Source organism: Homo sapiens, chromosome 3 (assembly GCF_000001405.40).
Source record: "Homo sapiens chromosome 3, GRCh38.p14 Primary Assembly".
Classification (NCBI taxonomy): domain Eukaryota; kingdom Metazoa; phylum Chordata; class Mammalia; order Primates; family Hominidae; genus Homo; species Homo sapiens.
Genome location: NC_000003.12, coordinates 160,299,205 through 160,325,094, shown reverse-complemented (window position 1 = coordinate 160,325,094; position 25,890 = coordinate 160,299,205). Strand labels below are relative to the sequence as shown.

Below are 25,890 nucleotides of genomic sequence, written 5' to 3'. Positions count from 1 at the left end.
TTGAAGAGGTCCTTCACGTCCCTTGTAAGTTGGATTCCTAGGTATTTTATTCTCTTTGAAGCAATTGTGAATGGGAGTTCACTCATGATTTGGCTCTCTGTTTGTCTGTTATTGGTGTATAAGAATGCTTGTGATTTTTGTACATTGATTTTGTATCCTGAGACTTTGCTGAAGTTGCTTATCAGCTTAAGGAGATTTTGGGCTGAGACAATGGGGTTTTCTAGATATACAGTCATGTCGTCTGCAAACAGGGACAATTTGACTTCCTCTTTTCCTAATTGAATACCCTTTATTTCCTTCTCCTGCCTAATTGCCCTGACCAGAACTTCCAACACTATGTTGAATAGGAGTGGTGAGAGAGGGCATCCCTGTCCTGTGCCCGTTTTCAAAGGGAATGCTTCCAGTTTTTGCCCATTCAGTATGCTATTAGCTGTGGGTTTGTCATAGATAGCTCTTATTATTTTGAGATATGTCCCATCAATACCTAATTTATTGAGAGTTTTTAGCATGAAGGGTTGTTGAATTTTGTCAAAGGCCTTTTCTGCATCTGTTGAGATAATCATGTTGTTTTTGTGTTTGGTTCTGTTTATATGCTGGATTACATTTATTGATTTGCGTATATTGAACCAGCCTTGCATCCCAGAGATGAAGCCCACTTGATCATGGTGGATAAGCTTTTTGATGTGCTGCTGGATTCGTTTTGCCAGTATTTTATTGAGGATTTTTGCATCAATGTTCATCAAGGATATTGGTCTAAAATTCTCTTTTTTGGTTGTGTCTCCACCCGGCTTCGGTATTAGGATGATGCTGGCCTCATAAAATGAGTTAGGAAGGATTCCCTCTTTTTCTATTGACTGGAATAGTTTCAGAAGGAATGGTACCAGTTCCTCCTTGTACCTCTGGTAGAATTCGGCTGTGAATCCATCTGGTCCTGGACTCCTTTTGGTTGGTAAGCTATTGATTATTGCCACAATTTCAGATCCTGTTGCTGGTCTATTCAGAGATTCAACTTCTTCCTGGTTTAGTCTTGGGAGAGTGTATGCGTCGAGGAATTTATCAATTTCTTCTAGATTTTCTAGTTTATTTGTGTAGAGGTGTTTGTAGTATTCTCTGATGGTAGTTTGTATTTCTGTGGGATCGGTGGTGATATCCCCTTTATCATTTTTTATTGTATCTATTTGATTCTTCTCTCTTTTTTTCTTTATTAGTCTTGCTAGTGGTCTATCAGTTTTGTTGATCCTTTCAAAAAACCAACTCCTGGATTCATTAATTTTTTGAAGGGTTTTTTTTGGTCTCTATTTCCTTCAGTTCTGCTCTGATTTTAGTTATTTCTTGCCTTCTGCTAGCTTTTGAATGTGTTTGCTCTTGCTTTTCTAGTTCTTTTAATTGTGATGTTAGGGTGTCAATTTTGGATCTTTCCTGCTTCTCTTGTGGACATTTAGTGCTATAAATTTCCCTCTACACACTGCTTTGAATGTGTCCCAGAGATTCTGGTATGTTGTGTCTTTGTTCTCGTTGGTTTCAAAGAACATCTTTATTTCTGCCTTCATTTCATTATGTACCCAGTAGTCATTCAGCAGCAGGTTGTTCAATCCTAAGCCAAAAGAACAAAGCTGGAGGCATCATGCTACCTGACTTCAAACTATACTACAAGGCTACAGTAACCAAAACAGCATGGTACTGGTACCAAAACAGAGATTTAGATCAATGGAACAGAACAGAGCCCTCAGAAATAATGCCGCATATCTACAACTATCTGATCTTTGACAAACCTGAGAAAAACAAGCAATGGGGAAAGGATTCCCTATTTAATAAATGGTGCTGGGAAAACTGGCTAGCCATATGTAGAAAGCTGAAACTGGATCCCTTCCTTACACCTTATACAAAAATTAATTCAAGATGGATTAAAGACTTAAACGTTAGACCTAAAACCATAAAAACCCTAGAAGAAAACCTAGGCATTACCATTCAGGACATAGGCATGGGCAAGGACTTCATGTCTAAAACACCAAAAGCAATGGCAACAAAAGCCAAAATTGACAAATGGGATCTAATTAAACTAAAGAGCCTCTGCACAGCAAAAGAAACTACCATTAGAGTGAACAGGCAACCTACAAAATGGGAGAAAATTTTCGCAACCTACTCATCTGACAAAGGGCTAATATCCAGAATCTACAATGAACTCAAACAAATTTACAAGAAAAAAACAAACAACCCCATCAAAAAGTGGGGAAAGGATATGAACAGACACTTCTCAAAAGAAGACATTTATGCAACCAAAAGACACATGAAAAAATGCTCATCATCACTGGCCATCAGAGAAATGCAAATCAAAAGCACAATGAGATACCATCTCACACCAGTTAGAATGGCAATCATTAAAAAGTCAGGAAACAACAGATGCTGGAGAGGATGTGGAGAAATAGGAACACTTTTACACTGTTGGTGGGACTGTAAACTAGTTCAACCCTTGTGGAAGTCAGTGTGGTGATTCCTCAGGGATCTAGAACTAGAAATACCATTTGACCCAGCCATCCCATTAGTGGGTATATACCCAAAGGACTATAAATCATGCTGTTATAAAGACACATGCACACGTATATTGATTGTAGCACTATTCACAATAGCAAAGACTTGGAACCAACCCAAATGTCCAACAATGATAGACTGGATTAAGAAAATGTGGCACATATACACCATGGAATACTATGCAGCCATAAAAAATGATGAGTTCATGTCCTTTGTAGGGACATGGATGAAATTGGAAATCATCATTCTCAGTAAACTATTGCAAGGACGAAAAACCAAACACCACATGTTCTCACTCATAGATGGGAATTGAACAATGAGAACACATGGACACAGGAAGGGGAACATCACACTCTGGGGACTGTTGTGGGGTCGGGGGAGGGAGGAGGGATAGCATTAGGAGATATACCTAATACTAAATGACAAGTTAATGGGTGCAGCACACCAACATGGCACATGCATACATATATAACTAACCTGCACATTATGCACATGTACCCTAAAACTTAAAGTATAATAATAATAAATAAATAAATAAATAAATAAATAAATAAATAAATAACAAGCTGACAATGACCCTTTCTACTGTCAGATCTCCTTTCTTAAACAAGCATGCTCAGGGCAACTGCTGGCCTAACTTGATACTTCTTGGCTGTCCTGAAAGAGCATCTTTCTCCATCAATGTCCTTGAAATTATGCACAGATTAAATAATAAAATGAATCTTTCACATATAAAAAAATAAAAATAAAAAATAAAACCATACTTTAAATTTGGTAGTCCTCCCTTTTTCACAGTTTCTCTTTCTGTGAGTTCAGTTACCCTCTGTCAACTGCAGTCAGAAATGGAAATTTCCAGAAATAGAGACCACATTCACATAACTTTTACTATGGTATATTTTTATAATTGTTCTATTGTATTATTAGACATTGTTAATCTCTTACTTTCCCTAATTTATAAATTAAACTTTAACATAGGTATGTATATATAGAAAAAAACATAGGATGCATAGGTTTTAGCACCTTCTATAGTTTCAGGCTTCCACTGGGGATCCTGGGACTTATCCCCATGGTTAAGGAAGGACTGTTATATGAATGTATGGTTTTAAAATAGAAATTAAACTAAGATCTCTGTTTCTTCTACACCATGAGGATAGACTAGATTTAGAAAGAGAGAGAGAGATGCCATAAGCCTATATGTTAATATATCAAGTCTTATTTGTCATTATCAACCACTTTTAATCTTTATGTAAAATAGTATTCATGTAATGTTTCATAATTCTTGTTTGTCAAACACAAATGAATTAATTTCATTTTATCGCCCAAAGCAGGTTATTAGTATCTTTGAAGTTCCCAGTCTTCTACAGTTATTTTCAAAAGATGACTTCAAATATTATATGTATTTTTTTAATTGATTCTTCTTAATTTTCTAAAAGGAAGTTTCTAGTATTTTCATACTGCTGATGAAGCAAAGGTTATGGTTTGTTCATTATCTTCTCCTTGGTAACTTTATTATTAGGCCTTTACTGAAGCCATTAAAGCAACAGTTAGTGGCTCCAAAGTTGGAGGGTGGGGAGAGTTGTAAAAGAGTGTCAGTGAGTGGTTGAAGAGCCTTTCAGTATTTTTATGTTATGTATGAACTTTCATTAGGAATTTTAAAGTCTTGTTTTGTAATAGCATCAATTAGTAAATCTTTATATTTTTCCATTCCCCTAGATTTGTTGTCAAAGTGAGCCTGTAGCTAATAATGAGTATTTCTGGAAAAAAATAATGTAAAACAAACAAACAAACAAAATATATATATGTATATATATCCAGCCGAGAGCAACAACAACAACAAAATCAAGACTGTGATTATACGCTGTAAGGCTGGAAGAATGAAAAGAGAATATGTATATAAGTTTAGTCAAATTAATCATCCTAGCAAATAACATATGTTGCATCTGAAAAATGAAACAAGTGCATATAATACCATGTATTAAAAAGTTTGTTTTTTTCTTATGTCTTATTTATAGACACACACACAAGAATCTCTTTTGTCCTATTTAATGCTTATTGATATCTCTAGATAACTTTCTCAGACAGTTAGATAGGTTCTAGGAGAGGTTATACTCACTGCAGTCTGTTAAAAAAAAAAGAAAAGAAATAGATCCAGTTTCGTGTAATTTCATGATTTAAGATGTGGGTCAGAGCTATTTTAGTTACATTGTGTGTTGAGTTTCAATTGTTTTGTGACATTCTTAAAATATTGTAATGAGAAATTTTTTTAGATGTAGAGACTATATATTAGGAATGAATAGTAAGATGTCTTTGTTTTTTCTACAGAATCTTTGTGTTTACCTATTAAGTATTATTACTTAAAAGGAATAGTAAACATTGAGATGATGTGGGTTTTTTACAGTTCTTGAGATATTTCATACACTGTTTTAGCATGATGTTCTACTGTGGACTTCAACAATTACATCTGTATTTTCCATTCAGTACACTATAATTTTATTAAGAAAAATAATAATTCCAGAATAGACATTCTTTTAAAAATGATCTTATTACGTTGTCATGTGCCTGATTTAAAACTTCCTAAAAATTTTTTTTCAGTAAGTCCATCTTTTTCTTGTTTTTTCTCCCCCAGTGGTCATATGCATTAGAAAAACCCAACACTGGCAGCATATTTAATATTGCATGGTCTATCGATGGCACTCAGATTGCTGGAGCCTGTGGAAATGGACATGTCGTTTTTGCACATGTGGTGGAACAACATTGGGAGTGGAAAAATTTTCAAGTAACATTAACGAAAAGAAGAGCCATGCAGGTATTATTATGTTCCAAGGTTGATTAAACCTGCTTCTTTTCATATTAGTTAACTGTACAGAATATGGAATTATCTTCATTAATTATATTTAGTCAAGCTTATAAAAATTCAGTCACATTAGAAATATTTTAACTATTCCATTAGTCACTTTCTCTGACATAAAAACCTTTCACAGATATAGAACCTGAATGCCCAAAGCTACTTCAGTTATGCATTTAGGACAAATACAGTGAAATTGGAAACCTGGAGGAAATATGTGGATTCAGTGAGGGAAGGAGAGAAAAAGCTGTAACAAACAGGAGCATGTTGGATTTGACTCCTGGAGCTGAATCCAAGGCAGGCCTAATCTGCCAGTTACTGACAGGGTTAATTGTTTTACTTATTTGTAATTGGATGAACTTATTTAACCTGATTTTTTTAAATTTTATTTTAAGAATTACCTAAGGAGAGTCAAAATGGGAAAATGGTATAGGAAGTTCTTATTGGGAATTAGGAAGTGTAGGGGAAGAAAAATATCTCTACCCATCCTAGGCTCATGACTGAGGTCCCTATAACAAAAGATATATTAATAAGAAAAAATCATATAAATTGATTTAATGTAAGTTTTACATGACACTGGAGCCTTCCTGAGGAAATGTAGACCTGAAGAAACAGTTAAGGCTGTGTGCTTTTACGCTACATTTGATGAAGAGTAGACAGTTGTGGCGATACACAATAGGGCAAAAAAAGTATGATCTAGTGGTAATAAGCTGGGGGAAATTTAGCAAGACCTGTGTGTTTAGATTCTTCTCTGTGTCCCTGTGTCTTCAGAAATAAGGATATAACTTTCCTCTGGGTATAGGGAGGGCACCTCTCACATGAGAGTCTTATGACCTGCTTCAGGAAAAGGTCAGAAAATCCTTTCTAGGTTTTATGACCTGTATTAGGGAAGAAGAGTAGAGGAAGGTCAGACTGACCTCCTGCTGCTCTTGTTTTATCAAATTCCTTTAGCTTAAAATATTCAGTATGCCATAGTGCCATATTTTGGTATAGTGTATCCTCAGTCCCATCAGAAGAAAATTTTGAAGTGAAATATTTTGTAGATTAATACAAGAAGGTTCGGATGTGGCAGTGGGAAGTGGGGAGAAATGTTTTACAGGTCAAAGGATATCAGTGGGAGGGCACAAGTATCTTCATGGCTCATCTTTGTCTCTCCTTCAGGGCCTCTAGCCCAGTGCCTTGCCTTTAATATATTAATAATTAGTTGAAGAAAGGTACAAGGAGAAGATCAAAGTACCATGTGCCAATGCAAATCCTCAAAAAGAAGGATTCGACCTTCCTCTTATTCCTTTTGCCTGTATCAATTGCCTCTATCTTCAGTATTCATAATTCATATTATTACTATAAAAATTTAGAAGCATGGGCAGGTCTATTCAAATATTCTGTTAGCCCACATATCCAGATTTTAAAATTTGGATAATATTGTCACTAGATTACTAATAATTCGGTATATTATACTTTTTCTTTATTCTGTTTATTTATTTTAAAATTATAAAACTTTTTATTTAGATAATTTAAAACACACACAGACTAGTATACTGAATCCCCATGTACTCATCACCCAGCCCCAGTAATCACTAGTTCATGCTTAAGCCTGCCCAGTCCATGTCCTATCTACTTTCCTTGCTCCCCAAATTCAGACATTGTATTTCATTTATAAATATTTTAGTATATATAACTAAAAGATAAGGACTCTGTTTTAATATAACCACACTACCATTATCATATTATATAATAATAATAATAATTTCTTAATATTATCAAATATCCACAAAGTGTTTAAATGTCCAGTTGTTTCCTACATGCCACAAAACTTTGTTTGAATCAGGATCCAGTTTTACATATTGCAATGGCTGATGTATCTTTTAAGTCTCTTTTGGTCTGAAGAGTCCCCTTCTATCTCTGTTTTCTGTCCTGCATTTTGTTTGTTGAAGAACCAAGTTATCTGTCTGGTAGAGTTTCTCAGTCTGGACTGGGCTGATTGTATCTCCATCATGTGATTTGACATGTCCCTCTATCTTCTGTGTTTCCTTTAAGAAGGATGTAGGATCTAGATGATGGTTTAATGTATATTTCTTCTAATTAACCTGGGATCTAAACCATTATAATATTCTGTATATGACATAGAATCCATTGTGAGTTCTAATCAACTAATTGGGGTATAATATTATATTTATAGCTAATATAGTAGTGCTAAAATAAGTTTTAGCCTTAATTACAGAAATGCCCCAACATGAGACCATATCTAGAAAGAGGAGTTCTTCTTTCATAATAAGAAGGAATTATCCTAGTGATGGAGGATTTTTATGTGAAATAAGATGAACCGTGGAAATGCTTAAATGGCTTATCTAATCTAAATTGTCTTTGTGTTTAAAATAATATTTATAAATTTTTAAAGTTTTAAACTAGAACATTATTTTTATTTTTTTAAAGAGGTTTTACTTTCTCCATGATTATAAAACATTTGACTGCATTTTTGCTAAGTTAGGCCTATTCATGTTTCTTCTTAGAATGATTTTATTCACTAATTCAATGGGTATCTATTGAGTGATCCCTACTTGCCAGGCATTGGGCTAAGTAATGAGGAATACAGAAGTGAACAAGACAGATTTGGTCCTTGTTTTTATGGACCCCCTAGATTATTATCTTGAAAATGTTTTTTTCATAAATTCAGCTGTAATTGATTTAAAGTGAAAAATGAAGAGAAAAAAAGGAAATTTATTGATTCTTGTGAAGTTAAGAGACAGACTGACTTAGAGGCATTATTGGTTCAGAGGCTTAAATAATGCCAAGAGGACTTCATCTCTTTCTCTTCCTCAACTCTTCTTTTCTCTGTAATTGTCTTAGTTTTCAGAAAGGCTCTATTTTGTGGCCTTGGTAGTTCCAGGCTGACATTCTACCAACTCCAAGTTCAGCGGAAAGAGTGCTTTTTTTTCCCTAGTAATTCCAGGAGAAATCTCAGCCTTGGATTTCATATGCTGAGCCTGAGTCAAGTGTATTTAGTCAGGGAGAGGCAGGGGAAAATGAGTCAATCCCATCTAGCCAGTCACTGAGAAGAGTGGAAGGAATGGTTTCCTAAAGGAAAATCAATGTATATTTATGAGAAAAGATGTCAGTTGATTCTGGGCAGACAAAAAATGATAGATAGATATATGCTATAGTCTATCCTTGAGCTGTTTAGCAGCTGTACTGTGTTAGTTACTTATTGCTGCATAATGAATAACCCTAAACATAGTGGCTTAAACAGCAACAATTATTATCTCTCATTTTCTGTGAGTCAGGAATCCAGGCATGGCTTAACAGGCTCCCCTGTTTCACAGTCTCACAAGGCTGCAAGCAAGGCATTGACCAGGACTTTAGTTTTATCTGAAGGCTCAACTGGGGAAAGATTTGCTTTCAAGCTCACTGACATGATGGTTGGCAAGATTCAGTTCATCAGTGTCATTTGCACCTGAGGGCCTCAGTTTTTTCTTGACTATTTACTGGAGGTCTCCTTCAGTTCTTTGTATGTGGCCTCTTCATAGGGCAGCTCACAACTTGGTGGTTTGCTTTAGCAGAGCAAGCAGGAAGGGCCAGAGAGAGTGCAAGCAAGACATAAGTCACAGTTTTTTATAACCCGAGCTCAGAAGTGACATCTCATCACTGTTGCCATATTCTATTTACTAGAAGCAAGCTATTAGGTCCAAACCACATTAAATGGAGAGATTTGCACAAGGGTTTGAATACCAGGAGGCAGGGATCATTGGGAGTCACCTTACAAGCTTCCTTTATTCATATATATGGATACATATTCAACCTACTCTTATACATATGATTCAGAAATATACTACTTTATCATGCAGCTATTTTATAAGTGATTGAAAACAAACCCATCCCCTTTCTAAAAAAAAGATAACCTAGACTCTATGGTTATTGCATCCAGCTCCAACTCTCTGGTTTGGAAAACTATACATAAATATGTATTTTGATTCTTCTCCCCTCCCCTCCCACTCTCCATATTCCCAGTTTACAATGGCAAAGGGAAAAGAGGGTGGCTGCAATGAAAACAATTTGGAAAAGGGGAGAAAGGAAAACAACACACAGTGATTACCCATTTATAGCTAAAATCCAGCTGGTGAGTGTGAAAGGAAAATAAAAATCTTGAGACCCCAAACTCATTATGTCAAAGGGAAAGGGTAAGCTTGAGAACTGAGTCATGCAAAACTGCCTCCCATTTTGTTCCTAAGTAGGTAGCTGCAAAGATAGAAGAACACATACCTCCCCAGAGGGCTTCCCTTACAATATGCTCACAAGTAAATTCCCTGTAGGCCCCAAGATCTTTACCCTAAAACAGAGTTCTGTTGAGTTTCACCCTAACAATGTAAATTAACAGCTTATCTTCACAGGTATGGGAGAAAGACAAGACTAGAAGTCATCCCTCTGCTCACTGGAGACAATGCATATTTCACTGCTTCTTCTGCTCTGTGTTTATCTTATGTAAAAATTCAGATTCACTGCAGGGGGAATACATAGTTGACTATCCCTGTACCTGTTTTCACTTGCAACATGTGGATTCAGTGAGCTCTAATCTAAACCTCACAAGAATGTGACCATACCCTCCCTCCTCTTTCTTTCTTTCTCTCTCTCTTTTTCCCTCCCTCCCTCCCTCCCTCCCTCCCTCCCTCCCTTCCTTCTTTTTTCCCCTCCTGCCCACTTTTTTTCCCTTTAAATATTGAAGCTCTTCAAACCCTTTTTGGAAAAAGCATGGATCACAGATGTTCCTGTGATTTTGTGTTCCTTTTTCCTGGGCACATCCCCAACCTTGGCAAAATAAACCTATAAATTGATTGAGGCTCGCCTCCAGTCATTTTCTTTGGTTTTACACCAAGAATATCCTGAGAACTCTCTTAGCAACAAAGTAGTTGCTTGGTCAGTTTGTTAACTCTAGTTTGCCTTTCTGGGAAGATCTCTCTGGACACTTGGGAGGATTCGCTTTCTGAGGGCTGTACTTTTTAACAGCCCACTTTTGTTGCAAGGTGGAGTCACAGGATTTCAGTGAGACTAAACAATCGCAATTGTTTTTGTTTGCCCAACTTAGAATTTTACAGTTTCCTTAGAGGCTTCTTTGGCTTTTGGTTTATCCGTGTTTCATTAACTCAGAAACCAGAGATCATGTTGAGTCATGATTGTTAAATCTACACCTTGACCTGCTGGTGCTGTTTTCCTACAGTAGACTTATTTGCCCTACCGTCTCTCTGAACCTCAGCTTTTGTGGGACATGATAGCCTGTAGTGAAAAAGTTTCTTAATCTGCCTCTTGCCTCCAGGAAGCAGCCCAGTGGATAATTCTTTCCAAAAGAGATCCTTGATGTCTCTGTTAGAAGGAAGTGCCTAGGAGGGAAAGCGTGCAGGTACAAAGGGTGAGGCATTTCTAGTGTCCCAAAGTTACCTTTGTTTCTCTCCTGCCACTCTAACTTTAGGATGGGGTATAAATTTGGCTTTTAATAGTCATCAAAGTTCAAAAGTGTCTTAATTCTTACAGGACATTTTATGTCTTGTAAAAATAAGAGCTAATAATAGAGTAATATTGAAGATGAAATGAGATAATATATGTAAAACAAAAATGATAGCTATTGCTATGATTATGATTATAGCTATAGGATTAAATGAGTGTTTTGCAAATGTGCAAACAGAATGTTTAGACTTATGTCAATCTGAGGAGTCTAAATATTGTGATCATATAGAAGAATTAGGTGATGCGAATATCAGGAAATTAATCCTGGAGCTGCCCTGAGTTGAACAGAGTAATAGGTGTATTTTAAAATTCAGCACAGAGGCCGGGCACGATGGCTCACACCTATCATCCCAGCACTTTGGGAGGCCGAGGCGGGTGGATCACAAGGTCAGAAGTTAAGACCAGCCTGACCAACATAGTGAAACCCCGTCTCTACTAAAAATACAAAAAATTAGCCGGGCGTGGTGGCTTGTGCCTGTAGTCCCAGTTACTCAGAAGGCTGAGGCAGGAGAATCACTTGAACCCTGGAGGCAGAGGTTGCAGTGGGCTGAGATCACGCCACTGCACTCCAGCCTGGGTGACAGAGCAAGACTCTTGTCTCAAAAAAAAAAAAAAAAAATTCAGCACAGAACATTTCTGATGTGGAATTTGCCATAGTTTTGAAACTATAACAGCAATTACTAGAGTGCCTTTAGTTTTCTTATTATGGCTAGGATGCTTTATTCTGGTTTGGTTCAAGTGTACCAGATTCACAAAAAGGGACATTCCTCCATGTGAGGCTTTAGGGAAATATGGATCTTAAGAAATCTATCTATAATTTTAATAATGTTAGAGGCCTCTACAATTAATTGTATTTTTAAATGTTGAATTTTCTTAAACCTGTTTGTTTAGGAAAGTTTGCAGGCAGTTTGAATAGATAGCATGTTGCTATAAAGAAACTAACATACAACTTCCCTTTAAAGTTTTTATATCATTCTACTAGCTTTAAACTGTTTCTAGAAGATGGCATTTTGGATCTTTAAAAAAAAAAATCTCTGAGAGCTCAGACTTCTCGTGAAAATGGTGTTAATTCATACATGGAAGAGACATACTTTTGGCACCAAAAGATTTAAATATATATAAAAAATATATATAAAATATATATTATATAAAATATATATAATATATATTATATTTATTATATATTATATATTTATATATAATATATATTTATTATATATTAATTTATATATAATATATATTTATTATATATTATATATTATATATTTATATATAATATATATTTATTATATATTATATATTTATATATAATATATATTTATTATATATTATATATTTATATATAATATATATTTATTATATATTATATATTTATATATAATATACATTTATTATATATATATTATATATTTATATATAATATACATTTATTATATATATATTATATATTTATATATAATATACATTTATATATATATTATATATTTATATATAATATATATTTATTATATATATTATATATTATATATTTATATATAATATATATTTATTATATATATTATATATTATATATTTATATATAATATATATTTATTATATATATATATTATATATTTATATATAATATATATTTATTATATATATTATATATATATAAGACTCATCTGGACTCAAACACAAGATAAAGATCTCTGTGGACCAGAAACAGAACAAAAATACAGCGTGGAGTCTCAGACCTACTTCAGGTCCAGAAGCAGGCAAGGAAAGGCAGTGAGGAAAGTTGCTCCTGCTGGCTAAGGAAACTGAAAGTATTAATACTTGAAGTGAGACAAGGGACTAGATCCAAGTGTCTGTTTGAAATCAGAGCCTGGGGGTCTATGAGGTAGCTCCTTTCTCTCCATCCTGAAAGGAGACCAAAAAAATCTACAGCCACCTGCTACATGGGGCTTCATATGTGTAGTTGTAGGCCTAGGAAATTTGAAGACACCACCTGCAGTCAGCGGCCTGCTCAGTTCCAGAGGGCACCATTCACATAGACCCAGAGTTGTGCACTACACAACCTGCAGTCATATAGCTGTGGCCTTGCAGACAAAGCTCAGCCATTTCACTAAGAGCATTCTTGTTCTAATTAACAACAGCTGACTACTGGCCGGGCGCTGTAGCTCATGCCTGTAATCCCAGCACTTTGGGAGGCCAAGGCAGGTGGATCACGAGGTCAGGAGATCGAGGCCATCCTGGCTAACACGGTGAAACCCTGTCTCTCCTAAAAATACAAAAAAATTAGCCGGGTGTGGTGGCGGGCGCCTGTAGTCCCAGCTACTCAGGAGGCTGAGGCGGAAGAGCCCCAGCTTGAACCTGGGAGGCGGAGGTTGCAGTGAGCCGCATATCACGCCATTGCACTCCAGCCCAGGAGACAGTGCGAGACTCCATCTCAAAACAGACAAACAAAAAACAACACCTGACTACTGAGAGCAGTGTTTTTCCTCCAGCCTTCTCAAGTAGAGGTGTTTTTCTTTGATGCGCTGCATATCGCTGGATCTGGTTAGATGTCTTCCTTACTCCTGCTGATTCTAGACCACTACAACCTCCTCTTCCCTAAAAAACTCTAGCTCCTTTGAAACTTGTCATCAGACTACTCCCCTCTTTACAGTCATTCCTCCTACTCCTTGAAGAGGTGAGCAAAAATATTCGTGTCTTTTTCTTTGTCACTAGTTCTGGAATTGTTTTTTAAGTTCTTTTTAAACAGTCTGAAAGATAAGAACTATTTTCATTTTAACATTACCATAGTAACATTCGCATTTCCCCAGTCTTTTCCTAACGTCTTTCTACAGTAACAGATCACATTTCTCCAATTATTTTCTAAATATATTTTTCTAGTTGGTTTGTTTTTATCAGGAAATAAAGCCCCACATTGCATTTAATTTGTCTCTTAAGTCTTTTTAAATCTGAAACAACTTCTTATTATTTATTTACTTACAATTTATTTGTTAAAGGAACAGGTTATTCTGTTGAATTTCCCACATTCTGTATTTGACTGATTCCATCTTTGTGGTATGATTACATTTATTTATTTTTATTTACTTATTTATGTATTTATTTTTTCAAGACATGCTCTCACTTTATCACCCAGGCTGGAGTGCAGTGGCACAGTCATGGCTCACAGTAGTCTTGACCTCCCAAGCTCAAACGATCCTCCCATTTCAGCCTCCCGAGTAGCTGGGACCACAGGTGTCTGCCACCACACCTAGCTAATTTTTTTTGTTTGTTTTTTGTAGAGACAGGGTCTCACCTTGTTGCCTGGGCTGGTTTCGAACTCTGCCCACCTCAGCCACCCAAAGTGCTGGGAATAAAGGCATAAGCCACCATGCCCAGCCTTGATTACAATTAATATGTTCATTTATCCTGTGTTTCCTCTAGACTGGTCATTGGGTTTAGAGCCTTAGGTGATGCTGTGCACTTCCTGTTGCATCACATCAGGAGGCACATATGTCTGCTTGTCTCTCTTTTAGTGGTATTAAGATTTGATCAGCGTGTTCAGGTATTATAAACCTGATTCATCTATCATATAGCTTCCCACTGGGTTTTGTACCTTAATGTTTTTAGCTGCCATTAATGATAGTTGTTTAGACCTATTTTTCATTGGGGGTTGTGAAATAGTAACATTGTAATTCTGTGATTCCTTCCACATTTATTAGCTAGAATTCTCCTATAAAAGACTTTGTTTGCCTCCTCAACCATTAGATTACCCTGTGGGGAATGGTAACAAATGCTGAATTATTTTCCTGTTTGCCAGTTTTCAAGTAATAAGTTGGTTTCCTAGCATGCCCAGTGAATTTCTTTTTTCTTGTCATTGATGTTATCATGATAAACTTGTAGATTTTAACATTTTCTGTGTGTTTCAACCCATCGTGGTTATTCTCTTTAATGCTCAAATTGTCTCATCTTTGGCCAGTTGGCTCCTATGTTCTTTTGACTGATTTCAATAGCTTCGTTGCTTTCTGATGTGACAAGATGTTTCAGGCTTCTTTTGTACATTTCCCATCTAGACTTGGAATCAACCATTTTTCCATGAGGGCCTTGCTCCTTTTGGAAGGAAATGTTATTTATAGACCACAATCAGATCTGTAAATAACGTGTGTTCATTGCTACTGATTTGATCATTACTTCTAGATAAAATTTTTTTTTCGTTTTTACTTGAGTCTACACTGGGAAGAAATGCTTTTGTTTTTGACCGATGAAAATACATCACGAGTTTATGCTGTTTCTAATTTAAATTTAAGATTATAGAGTTTTACTCTTGATTTTTTAAGAGTAACTCTCTCTGACCAGAAAATTTTGGTTCCTGAAAACATTATATCCTAAAATATAGTTTGAAAATAACAATATTAATATTATTCTAATAATATGTTACTGAATACTGTTTAAGATTTCTTGTTTTTTTTTTAAATGTGAGCAAATCCATATATCTTCATATTCTTCCCTTTCTTAGATAAAAGGTATCATACTATACACGCTGTTCTGCATCTTGCATTTTTTTTTTGAGATGGGAGTCTCGCTCTGTTGCCCAGCCTGGAGCGCAGTGGCACAATCTCAGCTCACTGCAAGCTCCACCTCCCGGGGTCATGCCATTCTCCTGCCTCAGCCTCCTGAGTAGCTGGGACTACAGGGGCCTGCCATCACGCCTGGCTAATTTTTTGTATTTTTAGTAGAGACAGGGTTTCACCGCATTAGCCAGGATGGTCTCGATCTGACCTTGTTATCTGCCTGCCTTGGCCTCCCAAAGTGCTAGGATGACAGGCGTGAGCCACCACACCTAGCGCATTTTTTCACTTTACTACATCTCATGGACATCTATAGATCTTCCTTATTCCTTTTTATAGCTGTATAATATTCCCCTGTGTGACTATATCATAGTTTATACAACCTGTCCCTTATCAATAGACATTTAGGCTATTTCCAGTCTTTTGCTATTACTAATAGTGCTGTAGTGATAGTCTGTGCATATGTTATTTTATAGTTTTGCTTATTTATCTTTGGGATGGGACTCTAGAAATGAGATTGCTGGGTCAATATTTTGGTGGAGATGGGAGTTAGAGAGCAGATAGTAAAAAGACATAACATACCTGTTTATTCTGTTTGTGCTGCTGTAACAAAATACCATAATCTGGGTAGCTCATAAACAACAGAAGTTTATTTCTCACAGTTTTGGAAGCTGGGAGTCCAAGATCAAGGTGCCAGCAGATTTAGTGTCTGGCAAGGGCCTACTTTCTAATTCATATATGGTGCCTTCTTGCTGTGTCCATGCTTGGTGGAATGGGCAAGGCAGCTCTCTGGGTCCTCTTTTATAAGAACACCAATCCCATTCATAAGGGCTCACAACCTTCCAAAGGCTCCACCTGCTAATACTGTCATGTTGGTGATTAGGTTTCAAAATATGAATTTTTAAGACATAAACATTTAGATCATGGCAATGCCTAGTAGGCCTAAGTACTTCTTTGAAGTACTTATAAGAAGTTTGATTTACCTTCTATTTTTCTTTCCATACTTTTCATTGTTCATTAATATTATAATTGTCACATTATATTTAGAAAAATGGTAACATTTTGAGGAGAACTTAAAGCAGTACTAATTTCTAGGTATAATTACTTTTTTCCCCTATATTTTTCCTCTTAACTATACTGCCATTCCCATTCTTTTATTGACCAGAGATACGTAAATTTAACTTGCTCAACATTTTTCTTAATTTCTTGCAGTTTGTTCATCAACTTCAAGATTTTTTTCCAAAACTGCCAAATATTAAAATCCTTGCAAAATAGTCTGTTACAAATTTTATGATAAATCTGACTGTCATAAGCAAATCTCTCTGTTAGTTGCTGCTTGGCTTTTTTAGACACTGTCTTTGTGTTTTTGCATATGGAAATACCTTTCCCCACTCCCTGCAGCTTGGCTTCTTCACCATGCAATTGGTTTGTTTACCAATACCTCCTACCCCACTTTTGATTTTTAAAGCAATTATGTCTCTACTTTTAGAATGTATATTTTAAAGTAAAATCTAACACCAAAAAGAGATATTCTTACCATTTTGGGCAGAAATCACATAGAATCTTTCCAACTTCAATATGCCACCCTCCTTTGACTATATCTCAGTGTTGGAATATTTTTTATATCACTCCATTGCTACATCATTAAGTTTGGCTTGCAAGTTAGAAATCTCAGTAGGTCTTTTTCTTCTTATTTCTAAGAGATTTTCTGTATCTATGCTTTGTCAGTTGGTTTTTTAATATTAGGTATACTATCTTATGCCTAGTTTCTATTAAATTCTTTTTTATATGATTAGGTAATCAGTAGTGCATTTAATTTTTTGTGTTTCAAAATCTTGCTAACTTATCTAAATAAAATTTGGATATGTTATAATGTTTATTGGTATTTTATTTTTCCTTGTTTAGGTTCGTAATGTTCTTAATGATGCAGTGGATTTACTGGAATTCCGTGATAGAGTCATTAAAGCATCTTTGAACTATGCACACTTAGTTGTTTCAACGTCTCTTCAATGTTACGTGTTCTCGTAAGCATCTTGCATTTCTTAAAATTTCAGAGTTTTGTCTGTCTGTGCTGAGGAGTTTATTTTCAGGATTTCACATCAGCGTGGTTTGGTTTAAGCTTAACTTTCTCAAAACCTCAGCTATCCTGAACTACCTCAAACCCGGAAGTGAGAGAAAGTGAACTTAGAGCAGTGAAAATAGATCTAACGAGGTTTGTACATCAACAGTTAATAGACAAGCGAGGCGCAATGGCTCATGCTTGTAACCCCAGCACTTTTGGAGACCAAAGCAGGAGGATTGCTTGAGAGCAGGGGCTTGAGACCAGCATAAGCAACACAGTGAGACCGCATCTCTACAAAAAATTTTTTGAATTAGCTGGGTGTGGAGGTGCGCACCTGTGGTCCTAACTTCTCAGGAGGCTGGTACTAGAGGATTGCTTGAGCCCAGGAGGTCTAGGGTGCAGTGAGCTGTGATCCTACCACTACACTCCAGTCTGAACAACAGAGTGAGACCCTGTCTCAAATAATAAATAATGGCTTTATTTAACAGTTGGCTTACAAAATTCTTGAAAATTTAATAACTAGTACAGGCTGGCTCTAGCATACTACCAGTTGATTCCTCAACTATCCAGAAAACTCACATAACCACTATAATACTTTCAAGAGTTAGAAATAGTTAAGGATTTTTTAAAAATTTTGTCCTTATATTTATAACATTATGTATAGTTTAGTCATTGAATATAAAATTGAGGATGGAGACTATATGTGTCTCATTCACCACTGTATGCCTAGCACCTAGCACAGTGCCCAACGTGTGGGTACTTAATAAATACTTTTGAATGAATAAATGAATTAAAATATGTAAAGTATAGCATCATCTTGGTATCCAAGTCTAGTAGTACACAACACAAAGGTATTTAACTTAAATAACAACTGCTACAACTATATATTTAAAAATTCCCATTCATTATGTGTAAACCTGCTACTAATCAGAATCTGCAATTTGGGACAAATAGCCAAATCTGGAATAATGAAATAGAAGAAACAGAGGCGAGTAGATAAAGAAATAGGCAATTTAATTTTATGTGAGTTTTTTTTTTTCCTTACATGAGAGCAAAAGAGGAACAGTAAGAATTTGGGAAGATTCAAAAAAGATACTAAGTTAAGCAGTTGAGATGTGGGGAAGGGATTATAGAATGTGAGAAAATCATACAGTCACTTTAATGCAGATAGATGTTTGAATAATTAATTTTCATGGGGCAGGGGAAAACAGAGATCTTTTCAGTTCAGTGTTTGTTTGAAGAAAGGTAAGGCTCTTAACTTCCCCATAATAACTTCCCCATTATTCTACTAGTTATAGTGGCAAGGACATAATGTTTGAATCTGTAGGATTAGTATCATTAGGTGTTACATGTATTAGAGAAGTTGCTTAAAAATATCCAAAGTTTAGCAGCTGTTAATTTTTTTGGTCACTCTACTTTTCCCTTACAAGTTAATGTGTGGCAAATGTAAGGTTGCTTTTCTTCTTTTGTGATTGAACCTTGCCTCCCCTTTTTGATGTCAAGATTATTAAGGTACACATATTAAGGTACAAAATATTAATACCAGGATGCAGCAGTGGTAATGAAATGCAAGGATGCAGTAGTGGGAATGAATCACCACCAAAACATATTTCATAAAGTTTTAAAAATCTACTAGCATTTTAGATAATAATGACTATCACTTATTGAGCAACTGTTATACTTTCATGTTTATTATTATTCTCATTTGAAAGCTGAAGCTAAAGGACATAGAGAATGATTAGATAACTTACCTTACATCAGATTATTGACTTTGTTACTAAAGGAAAGCAGGGATTTGAATACAAGTTCTTAATAACTGTTGGCTATTTTTTAGTAATAAAAATATAATTTTAAAAACAGACATGCAAGTAATTTACTGGTTTATATGAAAAGAAGTTCCAGAAAAAGAAAACAATATATAAGCATTCTACATTAAATTTTCATTTGATTTTTCAGATAATTATATTGAAAATATTATTGTCCTATTCAGCATTTATAGCTTAGGGAGTTTATGTTTCCATGGCATTTATATATCTCTCAGTTGTCAGAAATCTCAGATACTTTCTAAGGGGATATTAAACCCTCACATAATCACTACTTTTCTTACCAACCCTCTTGACAAAGAATGAAGGTTAGTTAATAAAGTATTTTGTGATTTTTTTCTAAAGTACAAAAGCATATATCTTTATCATATCTATGAACCCCAGACTAATTAATAATTACTAAATCAGTAATTAGTAATCACTAATTATTAGCAGTAATTTATTTATTTTGCTTTGTCCATGTATTTACTTACTGAAATGATTATCAGATTCTTTGCATTAGCCAAGATTAGTTGCCTACCAGTTTGCTTACTCACTGCTTCCTTCCCCTTCCCTCCTTCATCTTCTGGATTTGAACGTGGGATTTAATCTGAGGTAGAGAATTGGCTTTATGAAAATTACTGAGAAATTCAGAATATATAGGAGTAATAAAACTTATTTTAAACTGTGGAACAATTTTTATTATTTAAGGATGGGTTTTTCTGTTTGTAAATGTTCTCTTTACCCACCCCGATCTTTGATTCATGTTACCCTATAAAAACAAAATGATCTGTTTGTTCATTTATTAATCCATTTATTCAATAAGCATGTTCATGGCTTACATTTATATAGTATTTTAGAGTTTACAGAATGCTTCACAGAAATCTTTTCATTTCAACCCAACAATAACATTGGGAGGCCTGCAGGAAAAATAATCATGTTCATCATATTACTGTTATTACAGTTTCTGTTTTTCTGGTACCTGCTTTATAACAGGTCTTTTGCCAGACAAAATGTAAGTCATCATTATCCCCATTTTACAAATAAGGAAGCTAATGCTTAGCAGGTTAAGCTTGTTAAGATCAAGTGGGCAGGCACAGTGGCTCATGCCTGTAATCCCAGCACTTTGGGAGGCAGAGGCGGGTGGATCATGAGGTCAGGAGATCTAGACCATCCTGGCTAACACGGTGAAACCCTGCCTCTACTAAAAATACAAAAAATTAGCCGGGTGTGGTGGCAGGCGCCTGTAGTCCCAGCTACTCGGGAGGCTGAGGCAGGAGAATGGCGTGAACCTGGGAAGAGGAGCTTGCAGTGAGCCGAGATTGTGCCACTGGACTCCAGCCTGGGCGACAGAGCGAGACTCCATCTCAAAAAAAAAAAAAAAAAAGAAAAAATCAAGTGGCTGACAGGTGGTGAAACCATATTTCTAATCCAGATATGTCTAACAAAAAGCTATCATCTCTTCATTATGCCATGCTGCTACTGTTTTTAAAATGAGAATCATTAGATGACTTGCCCAAACTCACAGAGCCAATACATGGCAGAACTCAAACTTAGAATTCCTCAGTTCGCATGTTGTAATACCTACAGTAAACATTTATTGGATTCCTATTATGTGCTAATTGCTGGGAATACAGAGTCTCTGCTTTTTAGTTGGGGATACAGACATATAAGTGAATAATTTCAGAACAATGCACCAAGTGCTGTAATAAAAGTATGTATATAATTGCTATGAAACTGAAGTAACTTTATTTAAAATGAATACCAATCTACTTATTTAAAAGTATTTGGTATTTTAAATGTTAATAAATATCCATTTTACTTGTCTTTTAGCACGAAGAACTGGAACACACCAATTATATTTGATCTCAAAGAAGGAACTGTTAGTTTGATTCTGCAGGCAGAAAGGTAATTTATTATGTTTAACTACTGGATCTGGGGTTAAAATAAATAGCATTAAAGCACTCTTTAATAAAAACATCCAATTAAAAGAATGGTATACTAGTCATTTAGAACCAATCTGTTTCTATTTTACATTTTAGAAGAAAAAGAAAAGAATAAATAAGTTATTTAAATCAGTGATTCTGAAACATTTTAGTCTCTGAATTTCTTAACAGTCTTAGAAAATTATTCAGGGTTATATGTGGATTAAATATATCAGCATTTACGATATTAGAAATTAAAACAAATTTTAAAGCTATTTATTTTAAGGGATGAGAATAAACTCATTACAAGTAAACATCAGAGTAATGACATGAGAGAATGAGAGCAACACAGGTAAATAACTATTAAAGAGTTTTTACCTCATAGTCCTCCTATTTTCTATTCTGTTCTTTTCTGCTTTGTTTTAAATATTGGTTGAAACTCTTTGGTTTCATGGGCCTACTGGTCTGTGACCTGAAGTTTGAAAACTAGTTTTCTCTACTAAGACATTCAGTGTATACAGGACTAAGAAATGCCAGGCAATTAACTGGAGTAAATTAGGAATAGCTATTACTCAAGAACCTACACTTTTCCATGAAAACTGTCAATTAGTCTCTTGAGTACAGTGATAGCCTACTGAATCAGAGGAGGACTTAGACAGCTACAACCCAATAAAACTTGTTAAAAATTATGAAAATATAATTGACAGTTACCTAAAATATCTACCCATAAAATATTTGCACCAAAACCATGTGCTTTATTCCTCATTCCTCATCATGTAGGCAACTCTTAATAGTGTTTATTATCAGGTTTTCTAGCCCACAGCTTTTTATAAATAGAAAACCAGAAGAAGAATGGTACTGGTGGGCTGTTAGAGACTGGCACAATGACAGGAAGGAAAGTAGCTGCCTGGCAAGGGAACATGGAGAAAACTAAAAGCACAGAACTGTGTAGCTGAGTAGTATAATGATTCTGTGCACCAACAGATTCTTATGAGTATCAAAGTTATCAGTTAAATAGTTATTGAAAAATGTGATCACCATATTGATGACCTTGAATGACCAAGAAAATGTTATATCAAATTTTATGTTATCTATTTAATGAAATTGAAATGTATCAATTATTTAGTTACATCATAAATTTTTTAAAATAAGTCATTTTTGTCATTTAAAAGGTAAGATATCAGCTATCTAAAAAATCATGTTTCTGAAATGCTTTTTACTTTAACAGTTCGAAATAAATTCATTTATACATTATTTATAAATGTATTTATTGAATATACTCTTAATAAAGACATATATTAATGGCATAAATAGCCAAAAAATTTAGTTACTGCCTATCATTGGTCTTATTTATGTATATAGAGATGTTTGCCCCTTCAAACAGGGTGTTTACTCACAAATAGGTTAAAAGCCATAGTGTGTTATTGGAAAATAAAATGCTTTTAGACTGAGACAAAGGAATATATACTAATATATGTCACTTTGTCAAGTTTAGCAAATATTGTTTTCATAAACCAATATGTATGACCATACACTAGTATGTAAGGGCCAAACCCTTCAATTAAATAAACTACCTACCAACCCTCAAGTATTAATTTAATTGAAGTGTATGTGGTTGGTGTTAATTAGACACTAATTTTTCATTGGTTTTGGCATTTATTTCTGTTTTGTTTCCATAGCAAAAAAAGAACATTTAGCAATTCCTAAATCAAGAACCAGTTCTGAATCAAGGATATTTAAAACATTAAACATAAGATTTTGAAAAGTAATAATGTCTTCAGCATGAAGGAAACAGGCACACCAATATAGCCATAGTATGTGTGTAAATCAATACAACTTTTCAAAGGGCAATAAAACAAGATATATTTAAAAATTTTAAATGTATGGTCTTTAATCCAGTAATTGCACTTCTAGAAGCTGTACTAAGGAAATAAGTAGGGCAGACATATGGAGATATATATACACTGTAGACATTCTTTAAAACAGTGAATAATTTGAAACATGTTTATCAGGAATGAGTGAGTTAGTAAAGTTCTGGAAGTTCATACTTTGCCATAGTTATCTCTATGGAGGTAGGATCTCAAGAGGTCTTTTGTTTTCTCTGTATTGCTTGAATTATTTTGTACAATATTCATAAATTTTCAAAGGAAAAATATAACAGCCATAAAATATTTATGTTTTGAGTTAATAAAAAATTAACTACAGAGAGCCCTGTGCCTTAAATATGGTTGTCAGCATAGCAGATGAATCTGACCCTGTGGCAAAAAAATAGGTGTTTTTAGATATGAATACATACTGATAGTCACCATATGATTTTAAAGTCACAACTGCCTTATTTTAATAAATGCTTGCCCTAATGTTAATTTTTTTAGTCATTTTCACTGCTTTAAACTTTAACCACTAGTTAATCTTTAATTATTTTTAGCATAATCTTTAGTTATAAAATATATATTAAGACTGTTTCATGAAACAAATAGCACCCGGCATTAAAATGACTATATTGTAAATTATACGATTTTTTGATTGCCTTTGTATAGAATATTCTTCAGGAAAGGAAATGAATTGTGGGTATAATGTAAAAGAAGTCAGAATTTTAGTGTATAGGGTGGTGATTATGGACATTTTCATTTTTCTTCTCCTACTTCATCATAAAACAAAAACCCAGAAAACAAACCAAAACAACCAATGCTGGCTTTCAGTGTTTAAAATGTTTTGTTCCTTATATATCTACACATTTACATTAATTGTAAGATTTAGATTTTTTTTCCCAAGGATAAACTATTCTGTAATATGAAAACAAAAATAAAGTATACTCCTGTTTGAGAATCTATTTCTATTCTTTATTTTTTAGACATTTTCTTCTTGTAGATGGTAGTAGTATCTATTTATATTCATATGAAGGGCGCTTTATTTCATCTCCAAAATTTCCTGGAATGAGAACAGATATTCTGAATGCACAGACTGTGTCTTTGAGTAATGATACCATAGCAATAAGAGACAAAGCTGATGAAAAAAGTAAGTATATTTTTATAATTTTTCCTGTCAAATATGAAATTTGTTAACACTATAAAATTTTCACAAATTAACTTACATTTTCTTATCTACCAGTACATCAGCTTTATAGAAAAAGAATTATGAGCTTTCTATTTTGTTTTCAAAACATGAGTTAATTAAGCAGCTGAAGTTGTCATACTATATCCAGTTAATAGAACAAACAGATATTGTCACAACATCAAAGATCAGTAATCAGGAAAAAAATCTTTATATATTCAGTAGCTGTTGGTAGAGAGTTTGAACTTAATGTTGTGGTCCTAAAACTGTATATTAAGGCTTAAGTTTTTTATCTTTTTAAATATTCCCTTTTTCTTCATTTGGTAACATAGTAAATATTGCACTTCATTGAACTATTTAATTTGTTTATATTTTTAAATTCATATTTTAAGTTAATTGAAAGAAAGGTATGAATAACTTAAATTTTCTGTTTAAAAATCTAGGCCACATTAGTAGTTATAAATAAATATAAGTATGTCAGGTGTTTTGGGTTACATAGTACAATGAAACCGTTTTATTAGGGCATATGTGTATCACAGATTCACTCATCCAGCAAGTATTATTGAGTGCTTACTATGTGGCAACTACTTGTCTAGAAGTTCAGGATACAATGGTGAACAAAATTAGCAAATAAAAATTAAAATTTAATAAATATATAATAAATTGTCAGGTAATGATACATGCTATGAAGAAAACTAGCGCAGGGTGAGAGAATAAAGCGTTGTGAAGGTGGAGCAGGGGAATGACAGACAATCAAGTGCAAGGATTCTGAGGTGAGAGTAACTGGCATGTTAAAGGAACTGCCAGAAGGCCATGTGACTGGGTCAAAATGAGCTAGGTAGAGAGTGGGAGGAGAGGACAACATGGAGATAGGCAGGAACCAGATCATGTAGAGACTTGGCCATGGTGAAGATGTGGGCATGGAGGAAAGAGAGAAGGCAAGCATGTTATCGTAGGTTTTTATCCTGAGTAAATGATTTGGAAGACAGAGAAGGAGGTCATTTGGAGGGGGTCGGTCTGCAAACCAAGAGTTTATTTTGGTCCTGGTATGTTTAAATCTTTCTTAGACAGCCAAGCAGGGATGAGAGTGAACAATAGGATAAACAAGTCCAAGGCTCGGGAGAGAGGTTGGGACTAGAGATATAAATTTGGTGGTCATTGGTATACTGCTAGCGCTTAAAGCCATAACACTGAATGAAATCAGTGGGAAGTAAGTGTACACAAAGAAGAGGACCAAACACAGCACATCAGTAATTAGGGATGAATAAAAGGAAGAGGAGCCAGTGAGGTAAGAGGAAAGTTAAGAGTGAGTGATCCCAAAAACCTAGTGAAAAATATTAAATATTAAATAACTGTTTCTCTCTGTTAATATATATCATGAAACACTGTACATTACTGTTACCAAAAAATCTGACTTGAATGTTAATTTTGTTAGTTCACACCACGGAAGACCTAATTCATGAACTAGAAACTGTCCTAATTTTTAATTTTCAGTACTTCAGATAATAGCACCTCTTATACTGGCAGGAAATATAACTCTCCTAAATAGAGCTTTTCTATCTCTTCATTTAGGCCTTCTCTGAGAGAAGACTTTTGGTAATTTTTTTTTAAAGGACTTCCTTTTTGGCTAAGAAAGAGGAAA

General features: G+C 34.7%; 1 protein-coding gene and 1 long non-coding RNA gene across 6 annotated transcripts in view; both read left to right on the top strand.

Moving 5' to 3' along the window:
* TRIM59-IFT80 (TRIM59-IFT80 readthrough (NMD candidate)) overlaps window positions 1-25,890 on the top strand; it is a 258,294-nt gene that overhangs the window by 160,653 nt on the left and 71,751 nt on the right. For all 3 annotated transcript variants that reach the window (NR_148401.1, NR_148403.1, NR_148402.1), the window contains 4 exons: window positions 5,156-5,335; window positions 17,314-17,432; window positions 21,106-21,180; window positions 24,049-24,212. This is a non-coding gene — a long non-coding RNA (TRIM59-IFT80 readthrough (NMD candidate)). The remainder of the gene's footprint in view (window positions 1-5,155; window positions 5,336-17,313; window positions 17,433-21,105; window positions 21,181-24,048; window positions 24,213-25,890) is intronic.
* The window catches only part of IFT80 (intraflagellar transport 80), a 142,240-nt gene that overhangs the window by 74,131 nt on the left and 42,219 nt on the right, over window positions 1-25,890 (top strand). For all 3 annotated transcript variants that reach the window (NM_020800.3, NM_001190241.2, NM_001190242.2), the window contains 4 exons: window positions 5,156-5,335; window positions 17,314-17,432; window positions 21,106-21,180; window positions 24,049-24,212. In NM_020800.3, the coding sequence (NP_065851.1) occupies window positions 5,156-5,335; window positions 17,314-17,432; window positions 21,106-21,180; window positions 24,049-24,212 (538 nt within the window). The remainder of the gene's footprint in view (window positions 1-5,155; window positions 5,336-17,313; window positions 17,433-21,105; window positions 21,181-24,048; window positions 24,213-25,890) is intronic.